Genomic DNA, 11,874 nt, shown 5'->3' with positions numbered 1-11,874 from the left:
AGCACAGGAGACAGGGTTACCCAGCCCTGGAAGTGCTGAGCACGGGCTTCCCCATGGGCCCCTAAGAGGAGCAGTGCTATGTCAAGAACAGCAGCCTCAGTCCCTCCTTCATATTTGGAAAAAGCAAGGTGAGACAATGTCAGCTCTGTCTCCATCCTGCCCCCATTCTTTCTTTCAGCAAAGTAAGCCATGGACTCTGGTTCTGCTCCCAGACAAAAAGCAGAGGGTCACTGTTTTCTCTGGAATAATGTTTTGTGTGTGAATGGTCCTCATCTATCTCTGACCAGACCCCATTGATTCAACAAAAATTCACTGAGCATCCACTATGCACCTGGCCCCATTTCCAGGCACCAGGGGACCAAGAGGGATCAGGATGGACTCAGGGTCGGTCTACCTCTCAGTATTGTCCAGCAGGGAGACATACAAGTAAAACACCACCCACGATGCAGCCTGAAATGTGCTTTGATGGTGGAGAGACACAGACTGTTCAGGGTGCCGGGGGCCATGGGGGAGGCACTCTCCAAGTCAGTGGGGCGACTGGAAGGGTGTTCCAGACAGAGGGAACAGTGTGCTGAAAGGGTCTGAGACCTGCTGGGAGCAGAGAGGTGCTGCATCTCACTGGCGAGGGGGATGAACACGGTGGGAGGTGGGGGCGTGGAGAGGCCATTCACAGCCTTCTGCGCCATCTGCGCTTTGGAGTGTCACCATGGTTCCAGGGAATAGGCTGTAACACCCACCCCACAACCTGAGCAAGAACAAGGACCAGAGGAAGGAGGAGCGGAGAGGCAGAAATCTCTGCCTCTGATTGGGTTCCCTGAAGAGACCTAAGAGTGGCAGAAGAAAGCTTACAGGGCACTCTCATGAGATGTTCCTGTGAGGAAGTGGGAGGGCGAGGCTGGGAGAGGGAGAGGCTGACCCCCAACACTCTTGCGTCAGGCCCTGCTGCTCCTTCCGGAGCTCTGGGTGGGACAGCCCCTCAGAGATCTTCCAGGGTGCAGCAGAGTGAGCCTTGGCCTCCCACTGGCCTGCGGCTGCCCCTGGGTAAAGGACACAACTGTGGGGAAGCAGCTCCCTGTGCCCCGGTCCAGTTTCCAGAGAGTATTCGGCTATGAGCCATCTGCAGCTGGGGAGGGTGCAGGCCCTGGCGAGGGGTTCCCAGGGAAGCCCTGCCTTCCACACCCACGCGGCCTTCCCCACCGCAGGCTACTACACGCAGATCTCAACGCTGGCGGACACCCAGGAGAACGTGATGGAATACCTGCACGTGCTCAGCCGCCCCATGGTCATCAACCACGACCACGACATCATCTGGACAGAGGCCTACATGGACAGCAAGGTGAGCCTGGCAGCAGCTCCCAGCTCGAGAAGCCCACCTCAGAGTTAGGGACCCCAGGGAGTAAGAAGTTACTTCCTGGGTCAGGAAAGGGGTGGGCCTAGCACCTCCTTAGGGAACATTAAGAAGGGGCGAATGAAGCCGCTTTTCCATGCTTTTCCTCCTCTTTTCCTGACAGCCCTTGGCCCACTAATGGGACCACTGCTCATATGCTGCCTTAGACCCCCAGCAGACCTGCCTGAGGTGCTCTCCACGGACAGGGTCCCTGCTCCGAAGTTGTTCCTTCCTCCTCCTCCACAGTCCTCGCCTCCCTCATCATCCCTCCCTCCCACCCACCCGGGACAGAAAGGGGTCAGACCAAGAATCCACCATCCCACAGCTGGAACACGTTCTCCCTTCCTGGGTCCCTGCATTTTCAAAGGACTGTAGGCAGCAATGACTTGCACGAAAGAATGAACATCAAAGGGAGAGCTTCACATGGGACCTTTCTGGGGAAGGGAGACCTTTCTGCCATTTCTCAAATCCCCATCACATAGGCAGCCACCTGCTTCAGTGATGATGTATCAGGCTGGGCTCCAGAGAGACCTGAAAAGAGTGGCTTAAATAAGATAGAAGTGAATGTCCCCCTTGGGTAAACAAAGCCCAGAGCTGACCACGAGCTCTCTGGCCTGGTCATCAGGGACCCAGGCTCCTCCCTGCTGTCCCCTTTGCTGTCCCAGCCATGTGGCCCTCATCCTCATGCTCAGGAGGCTGGTGGAACATGAGTCAACTGAAACCACACTTAAGCATCAGGCTGTGGAAGGGGAAGGGGGATACTTCGCCCCTGTGAGGGAAACTTGCAGGGACTCTTGCCAGAACCCAGAATTCACCTTTCACTGGCCAGAACTCAGTCCCTGTGCTGACAAAGGAGGCTGGGAATGCAACGAGGCAATGGTCAGCTTTCTTCTGAGTTGCTCTATGTCCAAAAGCAGTGGCATGCTTACTTACCTCCACCTGTTAATAGTAGACATAAGCCATCTGGCCAAATTTGGGATGAAAAGCTCATTAATCTACTTTAAAGGGGCTCCGCCAACACGGCCATGCTCAGCAGATGTCATCTGACCATCACCGACTGCTGCTGAGAAGAGACGAGCTGGCTGCCTTTGGGCAGGGCTCTCCCTCCCTTGTCCAAGTGTTCATAGGGCCCTGAGTGTCCAGGTTTGATGAGAGAGAGGTGGGTGGGGAGAAGGAGGACAGGAGGGGATCTTCTTTGAGCTGTCTTCCTGTGAACCCTGGCACCTGCACTTCCTCTCCATCACCCGTGCATTCATCTGCCTGCCAGTAGCCAGCCCAGCAGGAGGGGCCAGGGCTCCGGTGCTCCGTGTGGGCCTCCCTCACCTGGGAGTGTTGTGGTCATGCCACGGGAGCTGGAAAGCGAAGGCTTTCAGAACCATGAAATCCGATGAGAGAAGCCGGGCATAGGCCATACCTGCTGAAGGTGGCCTGGAGTGTTGGGTGTGAGTTTGGCAGAAGGTGGGTAGAGGCAACCCCAGGTTCCCTGTGTGCTGCAACTGATGTCAGACGGTGCTAGGATGTCCTTAGCATTCTATGGACAGCCTGACCTTCTGACGCTCTCTTACCTCCACGCACACAGACGAGGCCACAGTTCACAGTTTGATCTTCACTTTTACACCTGTCCCTCAGTGAGAACCGCCCCCTGCAACCAGTCCCTACATCTCCTCTGTCTTCCTCCTTCCCTCTCCTGTCCCTGACTTAGGAGTCCCTGAAGTTAAGGGTCACCTGCAGGTCTCCCGGACCCACTTCGGAACCCTCTGAGTGGAGGATGTCACTCCCCTGAGCCCAGGGCAGGTGTCCGCCCTTGCAAGGGTATCCAGAAACATGAGTGCAGGGACAGCTGTGACTGGACTCCTCCCAGACTGAGACATGTCCTAGGGAGAGCAGGCCACAGGGGCCTCCAAGAGCCTGGGAGCTGCTCTCTGGGAGCCAGGGACAAGCTGGCTTCATGCATTCCTAACTCAGGAAGGAGACTGGAAAGCCCTCATGCAGCCCATAGAGATGTGTCCAAGCTCAGAAAACAATTAGATGTCATCGTGGTTCACTCTCAGAAAGCCTTACTTCTAACTCTAAATTGAAAACTCAGATGAGATGAGAGAAAGAGACGTGGTGGCCAAAATGTGCTTCCTTCTCCAAGAAAGTCAACTGTGGACTTCCATGACTCAGCAGTCCCCTTTAGTTGATCTCATCCAAGGTCGGACTTACGATACCTCTCTTCCCACATGCTTGTCAGAAGCCTACTTTTGTTATAAAGTGGGGCACACATGCAGAGCCCCTTTCAAGTGGCTGGAGGAGCCGGCACGGCGAGCCCAGCCAGTCAGGGCGGACAGCCGTCTAGAGGTGGCAAGGGTTTGGCTCTGGTGCTGTGAGTGGAGTCCATGTGGGTCTGACCTGTGTCCTAGGAACGGCCCCGAAGCCCACCACAGCTGCACCACGGCCTGCCTTTGCACTGCAGTGCCTCGGGGTGTGCTTGTGTTTCTGGGTAGCTCTGGGTCAATGTCCTCCCTCTCACCTGTAGCAACCTTAAGTCCATATCAGAGGTTTCTGGAAAGCTCGTGCTGTGCAAAGCCTCTCTGTTTCTGGGCAGGCGCAGATGGGCCTGTTTCCTGGGTTTGCACTTAACACTCGGCCTGGGCCTCGCTGAGACGAGAGAGCTTAGTGAATGTGCTTGGGGCTGGGTCATGGGGCTCAGGACCCTGCTGAGTGACATCAGCCTGGTCCTGCCCTCCAGTCCACTTCTGGCCCCCAGCATTCCTGCCAACTCTCCTTTTGCAGAGAAGGGAATCCTCATTTGGGATTTCCTCCTTCCTGTGGGAAGGTGACGCTGGATAATTGATGTGGTGACTGTGGGTTCTCCGCACTGGGTGCTCCGAGTGCGGCAAACCAGTGGCCCTAGGCCGCACCTTCTGACCCCTGTTCTCCCCTCCCTTACAGCTCCTCAGCTCGCAGGCTCAGAGCCTGACACTGCTCACCACTGTGGCCATGCCAGTCTTCAGCAAGAAGAACGAAACGGTGAGTGGCCGCTCCTGGAGACGTTGTAGCAGGGATTAGAACCTGGGGCTTCAGTGCCATCTTTAGACCAGTGATTCTTGACTTGGCTGTGCCTCTGAGCCACCTTGGGAGGGTTTGAATGCAGATTTCCAGGCCTGTCCCAGAGTAGCTACCCCAGACTCTCCTGGTTGGAGGTGGGCTGGTGGTCTGTGCTTTTCCACAGCTTCCCCAGTGACTGCAGGCTGGCTGGGAGTAGCTTCACTGCTCTGCAGTTGGGACCCCTGCCTTGGGGATATAAGACCGGAGGGTTTCCCGTCAGCCTTCCTGCAAAGCCATGCTTAATCTGCCAGGTTGTGCAGACTCTAACTTGTCTGTAAAGGCCTCTGGTGAGGGGATTTCTTGAGCCTTCCATCCTCCATCAGGTCAGGAAATGTTTCATTACAGGCTCTGTATGCTTCAGAGCCCCCGTGAGTTATGGTCCCTGAGATCCCGATAACTTCGCCCTGTGCCGTGAAGATTAATATTTCATTTAACTTTGGATTCCATTTAAATATTACAACTTAAATATTAATACTGGGTATTAATCTTCCTAGCAGCTGGTTTTGCTCCTGGGACCTCGTCTGATAGAGTCTAGATTTTTATTCCCAGCCTAGAATCTAATTGCAGAGGAAGAACCACTTAAAGCCTAAGTGGCTTCCTCTTCCAGGCTCTGGACAGGCCCAGGGTCCAGTCTAACCTTGTACACAGGGAAGCTGGGTCTCCCCCACCCCTTGTGTCTTTCCTTCCAGCGATCCCATGGCATTCTCCTGGGTGTGGTGGGCTCAGATGTGGCCCTGAGAGAGCTGATGAAGCTGGCGCCCCGGTACAAGGTGAGCCTGGGTCTGTTCCCTGTGGGGATCACAGGTTCCCCAGGAGCAAACTCCCTCCCCCGTGATGGGAGCCTCTCTCCAGGCAAGCCAAGCCCAGAGCTGGGGTGGGGCCCCTCCATCACTGCCCAAGAAGTGCAGGTGCTGAGCAGGGGAGCAGCAACTGGTGCCCCTGGGTCCCTTTCCCACCACGAACTATGACTTGCTCTGTGGCCTTCAGTAAGTCCTTTCCCTGCCCAGTGTCTCAGTTTCTCAGTCTGCTCCTCCGTGCCACACAGTCCTGCTGTAAGGGTGAGTGAGATTACATCATCAAAGCACCCAGAACATGTGGTGGTAAAGAAGTCAGGTAATAATATGTATGATGACGGTTGCTATAAACAGTCCGGTTTGGAAAGGACTCCTCAATCAATGATGGAAGCATGGCACTGGCTCAGTTACGTTCCTATTGAAAACACTCACTGCTGTGAGCTGCCATCTTTGACCGTCCTGTGGCCCCCAAACCCCTGCCCAACTCCAGATGCCCAGCACAAACAGCAGGCCTAATGCGCCTCCACCCTGGACTCTGGCAGCTTGGAGTGCACGGATACGCCTTTCTGAACACCAACAATGGCTACATCCTCTCCCATCCCGACCTCCGGCCCCTGGTAGGTACAGATCTTCTTTGCCTTGGGATCCTTACTGTATGGGATTTGGGGGTAATTCACAAAAACGATTAAAACAACAAACACACATTGGGCTCCATTTAGGAACCCAGTGGGTAATATGAGAAAAAAAATGTATTCGAGTCATGGTCCCTGTTTTCAAGTTGTTTAGATTCTATCAGAAGAGACAAGGCAAAAACATGTGAAATGACTGATGAGTGGGCCAGAGAGCACGTAACGAAGTGTGCAGTTTTGAGGCTAAAGAGCCCGCAGGGCCATTATTCACATCTGCTTGGAGTCTCTCAGAACTCTGGGGGCCTGCGAAGTTGGGTGAACAAGGAGCTAAGCATGGAAATGGCAGGGGAGCCCTCTCCTGAGCAGCACACCTTAGGATGCATTCCTGAGTGCTCCTGGCCCTCCCAGCCCTCTTCACTGTGACACAGAGGCTGGGGTATTTTCACATGAGTTCAACTGAGCCTCTGATGGCTGAGGAAGAAAGTTGCATTGTCTTATCTGAAAGCTCTGCCTCCAGGAGCTAGTCATGCACTTGAGCACTATGCAGCAATAATGACCACAGCTCTCAGTGTGGCTGTTGGGACGGCGGGAGCTAAAGTCCTAGGAGAATCGTAGCCCTTTGCCCTCTACCAGTCTTATGGTGAATAACAGATGGCAACAGAGGACAGACAGCAGAGCACCTTCCGGAGAACTTAGGGCCTCATCTGCCCAGGTGTCATTTGGAGAGGTCAGTCTAAGCCACACTCCATTCATTCCATTTGGTTCAAATAGACACTGAATATCTGCAAGGCAATGATTAACTATTTAAGGCAAACTCTAGGGGTTCTGAATAGAGAGAGATCAGGGCACACTGGAAGCCACTCTGTTCATGCTGTCTTCCAAATCAGGCTCTGCTGGGCAAGCATCTGAGCCCATAACATGTCACTCCCTTGTACCAAGGGGTTCTGCGGGGGACAGCCCCAGTGCCAGCAGAATGACTCACTAGGGAAATAATATGCTGATTCTGGAGCTGACTTGTAGAATTGAGGGGTACTGATCATAAACTGCCTGTTACCATCTATGTACTCTAGACGAATATAAGGCTTCAACCAGTGGATTCACACTGTGGGCCTCCTCGTGCCTGACCTCACGATGCAGTGAAGAATGCTATAAACAGAGGCTTGTACTCTAATTAGGAAAACTAGACTTACACAAATGAAACAATTAGGGAATAATACCACACAGGACACGATTACAAAACAAAAGATATAGCAAAGCCAAAGTAATGAGTTATCTGAGGAAAGCACTATCAGGAAAACAATAGTTACGTTTGAAAAAGAAAAAATAACGAGGATATGCCCAGTAATAAATTAAAAGAGCCATGCCATTGGACTGAAATCTTTCCATGTCAGTGCCCCATGTAGGAGTATTTAATGGAGTAGAATTGCAGTTTTAAAATGAGGAGCTACAGATGATCTTCAGGCTTTGTCAGGATTTAGGAAATGGCAATGGAATGTTGAGCCCCACCCAAAGGAAACAGATCCCATGTAAAAGATGGCAGGACAGGGCTGTTTGATGAGTATGGTCATTAATAAGACCAAGAAGCATGATCCAGGCATGGGAAAGGAGGGAAAGAGGGGAAAGGGGATCCTACAGATCCCCTGAACAGGCAAGAAATCAGCACGACACTTCCCCGAAAAAAGTGAACAAACAAAAAACTGGCGGAAGCAAGATACACAGTGATAGGGGACCGGAGCTGTCCAGGCATCTGCTGGGGGCCTCATTTGGCTCAAAGCAGACATGTTAATTAATCCTTAATTTACCTCAATGATAAACTATCCTCTTTGCTTTTTTGATTGGGGTTAATAAACTAAACCCGGGAAGTGCTGCAGACCTAATCATAGATAACTTGGTGACATCTGTCTTGGCTTCAGAGAGAGAGAAGTCAGGGCCAGAAAATAATAACACTCAGCATGTTGATTAATGGCTGTATGTCAAGTTGAAGGGAGGTCTTTATTAAGCACTGATCTGTCCTTGTCTCCGTCCCATTCAAATATTTTATCCCTAAGATGAAAATGCAGAAGGCAGATGCCATAAAGTCTGGAAGGTATGGCTAATACATTAAATGAGAAAATTAGTATTCAGAAAGCAGTCTCCTAAAACAAAGGGGCTGAAACTAGCAAGATGAAATATATTAGGGATGCCTGGAGAGCTCTGCGAAATACTCAGTGCCCAAGCTTACGATTGTGAAGAGGGACCTGACAGTGTGTCCCATGAGGAAGACCAAGGGGACTGAACTGTCTGAAATCTCCGCCTGAACTGCCAGGTCAGTGCGGCTGGCCAGGAAAACAGCAGAACCGCAGGCAGCAGTCAGGGCCCCCTGACGCCTTAGTGCACAGATCACAGCCCACGCCACACTGGTCAGACCCCATTTGGAAGGTTGGCTTTTGTCCTGGGAACTCCATTTTGAGAGTGACATTGAAGACAAAGTACAACATATTCAGAGGGAGCTGAGGCACCTGCACACCGGGCAAACTCAGTTGGAGCAGTGAAGTCTTAGGCGTGACAAGTATCTTTGGAAATCCCAGGGGCTGTCAGGTGGAACACATTCTATGCAGCTCCAGGGGAAAGAAGGAAGATCAGTGGATGGAAGTAACAGGGAGATGGATTTCAGCTTTGTGTGAGGAGGAACTTTCTAACAATTAGGGCTATCCAAAGCTCCAACAAGCTGACCCACGAGATAGGGAGCTCCCTGCCATGGGGAAGATTCACTCAGAGGCCGTGAGACCATCTGTCATAGATGTCAGTAAGGGGAGCTCTGTATCAGGTGGAATTTGCCCAGATAACCTTAAGTAATTACTGGATTGATTGATTTCTAAGGAATCCTTTGCTTTTATGAATATACCTGAAAGGCTTTGTAGAAGAGATAAACTTGAGCAGGACGTATACTGACCACATGTTTTTCTTCCTGACCTGCCCACTCCAGTACAGAGAGGGGAAGAAACTAAAACCCAAACCTAACTACAACAGTGTGGATCTCTCCGAAGTGGAGTGGGAAGACCAGGCTGAATCTGTGAGTGGGGAAAATAGGGGGAAGGGAAGCTAGTTAGGCTCTACATCCAACTAAATGGGTCAGCTGTGTGGCTGTGAGCTTTGAGGTCACTCTGTTCCTGTCAGGCAGAACAGGTTCATCCCAGAGCCTTTCCAAGCTCAAGCCACAAGCAATGCCTAAAATGAGCAATTCTTTTAACAACTATAAAAATATAACAATATCTTCTTGAATCACAAGGACTACTGAGGCTGGATGAGATCATGTGTATAAGCTGCAGAGTCTGAGTTTTAGTGATGTTTTAGCCTGGCTTTTGATTGCAATATCTCGTCCTAGAGGAAATTATGTCCCAGCAACTTGGCACTCTGTACCCCAATGCATCAGTGCACATGGGAGTGGGATCTTGGTGAATGCCTGGAATTATGAGCTAGATGGAGCTTAGAGTCAGGTCCATCTTCCCTCCTGGTATCTCTCTCAGAGGAAAAAGGGAAGAACCAAAAGTGTTTCTGGGGATCACCTCTAATCTGGTCTGAAGAATGCCATACTTTCACCATCCCCTGTGAGCCAAGGAACTAATGCCATTGTCTTTCCTCCTGAAGCTGAGAACAGCCATGATCAATAGGGAAACAGGTACTCTCTCGATGGATGTGAAGGTTCCGATGGATAAAGGGGTAAGGAGCTAGAAACAGCCAGGGCATGGCCTAGGAAGGCATCTTCATTAATTGGGTTTGGAGTAGTGACGAGGGACCTGGACTTAGCCTAATTATAGCTGAAGAGTTGAGTGCTTGCTGCACCTAGAGGGTCCATTAGGGAGTATACGCAGGGTGCATTGGCCCTGGAGAAACACCTAGCCAGGGAATGACAGGATTGCTCATGCAATGCTTGGCTTTTGGGAGACCGCTGAGCTGGGGAGAAAGCTGGCCAAGGCATTTACAGCTCTTCTTTCCTCCTTATGCTGCCTGCTACTGGCCCTTTTGTTGTTTATAATGAAAAGGGGAAACGTGACAGCTGATTTTGTAAATGGTAAGCAGCTCTTGTGAAGTGTTATACAGGAAGAGATTGAAATATTCACTATTCCCTACAGCTGATTTTCATCCACTGTCATTCCCAGATAGTTAGGAATCAATGCCCTCACTAATCCCATTACTATCTTTACAACCATGTGCATCGTTTATAAAAGATCATTTCATCTTCTCACTTAAAAGGTTCCAATGTGTCTACTGATTCTGCATTGTCCCTTGACATATTTACAAATGTCACCTCCTCCCTCACAGCCACCCCCACCTCCTCCTCCCCTGCCCATCTGCCTCAGCTGAAAGAGCACAGGCATCTGCCTGCAGCAATTAGACCCAAGTTCTTCCACAACACAGACCTCCATGAAAGCCAAACAAGAAAGCACAGGGAGAGACAAGGAAGCATCCCTTTTAGGCCAGACTGATTTTCACTGGGACCAGTGTCTGATTTTGGTGGCATCTGCCTGGCTTTTTGTAAGCTCTGGGCTGAGAAAGGCCTCCTGCAGGCAGACTGGGCACTATAGTGAGGTCAGACCACCAGTGGCAGCTGTTCCTTCTCCTGATCCAAAAGAACAGAGGCTTCTTCCACAGGCACCCACCTTTATCCCAACCAGATTCCTGATCACATGCACAGATGAGCTCTCATGGAGCCCAGCACGGCCACAGCACTGAACTGACAATGAAGAATTTAGTCTGCTTATGGCACAGGACAGCTTAAAGGTAGATCTGAATGTGGCTATACTGTATCTAATACAGACTGACACATGCAGTGGGTGTGGTTCTCTTCTACCCTTTCCCCCAGTGCCCAGGAATCTCGTGCTGCTTTTATGCTTCTCAGAGCCACTGAGGCAGAGTCCTAACCAAATGCAGTAGGCTGAACTTCTGAAACCTCTGCCCATCCTTTCAAAGTTTGTTCATTGCTACTAATAGACCATCTGGGTTACATATTTGCAATTTCGCAAAGGCTTCCTGATATACGGGTGCTTCAACATAAAGAACGTTCAATGAGGATGACGACGATCATGACCATAATGGACGTTCCATGGCACTTAGGGGTTCATGTCTTACTACTATTAGTACAGCTAATAATAATGATGGAAACTAACATTTATAAGAAACTGGGCTGGGCGCTGTCAAGTATTCACTCATTGAACACTCACAACCTGAGGGTGGGCCTATCCTATCCCCATTTGACAGATGAGGATATTCAGAGAGGCTAAAAACTTGCCCAGGGTCACCCAGATGATCAACTGCAAAGCCCATGTGTAACTGCTCCGAGATCTCCCATTCGTAACCACTGCTCTAGAAGGCCTTTTCTGTAGGACTGGCCCTGAATTCTCAACTCTCCAGCCTTAAAGGTTTCCCAGAGTTTGCTTTAGCATAGCATTTCTATTCCACCTTGAACACTCATCGCCTTCTCCTCTCCCTCTACCCCATTCTATCACCACACAGTCCTCCTTCATCCTCCATCTCTTCACCCTGACCCCAGGAGCCTGGCAGCCTCCACTCTGTGCAGGGCATTTTGCTGGTGTGGGGCCGCCGAGGCAGTGTCTGGCTCTCACTGCTCTGATGTCTTAGGCTGCCACTCATCCCCAAAGTGGCTGCGTTTTCTTCACTGCCAAAGGCCCTGTCTCCTCCACACAGCTCTCACAGAGCCATCCAACCGCCCCATGGTCGGCCTGCCTGCTGATCTATCCCAGCCCTCCCTCTCAGCTCAGTGGTGTGTCTCAACTTACGAGCTGGTTTCTCAGTAGAAACCGTCTCCAGGTCTAGGTCTAGGCTGAGGAAAGCTTTCTAAAAGCCTTGTGGGAATAACTGTTACTGTTCGAGCCATCTCCCGGTACAGGACCGCCTGCCGTGTTGTTTTCTCCAGGGGATTTTATAGGTATCCTTATTTTCCACACGTCAACAGCATGATTTAAGGCAGGACTCA

General features: G+C 51.1%; 1 protein-coding gene across 5 annotated transcripts in view; it reads left to right on the top strand.

Annotated features, from left to right (window-relative positions):
- The window catches only part of CACNA2D4 (calcium voltage-gated channel auxiliary subunit alpha2delta 4), a 126,690-nt gene that overhangs the window by 34,450 nt on the left and 80,366 nt on the right, over nt 1–11,874 (top strand). For 3 of the 5 annotated variants that reach the window (XM_047429897.1, XM_011521041.3, XM_047429899.1), the window contains exons 13-17: nt 1,203–1,336; nt 4,322–4,399; nt 5,167–5,247; nt 5,814–5,888; nt 8,866–8,952. In XM_047429897.1, the coding sequence (XP_047285853.1) occupies nt 1,203–1,336; nt 4,322–4,399; nt 5,167–5,247; nt 5,814–5,888; nt 8,866–8,952 (455 nt within the window). Of the gene's footprint in view, nt 1–1,202; nt 1,337–4,321; nt 4,400–5,166; nt 5,248–5,813; nt 5,889–8,865; nt 8,953–9,527; nt 9,600–11,874 lie in introns of all 5 variants that reach the window. The other 2 variants (NM_172364.5, XM_047429898.1) reach the window with 1 other exon arrangement.

The sequence above is a fragment of the Homo sapiens genome, chromosome 12 (assembly GCF_000001405.40).
Source record: "Homo sapiens chromosome 12, GRCh38.p14 Primary Assembly".
NCBI classification, from domain to species: domain Eukaryota; kingdom Metazoa; phylum Chordata; class Mammalia; order Primates; family Hominidae; genus Homo; species Homo sapiens.
Note: the sequence above shows the minus strand (reverse complement) of the source record. Positions and strands in the feature narration are given on the sequence as shown.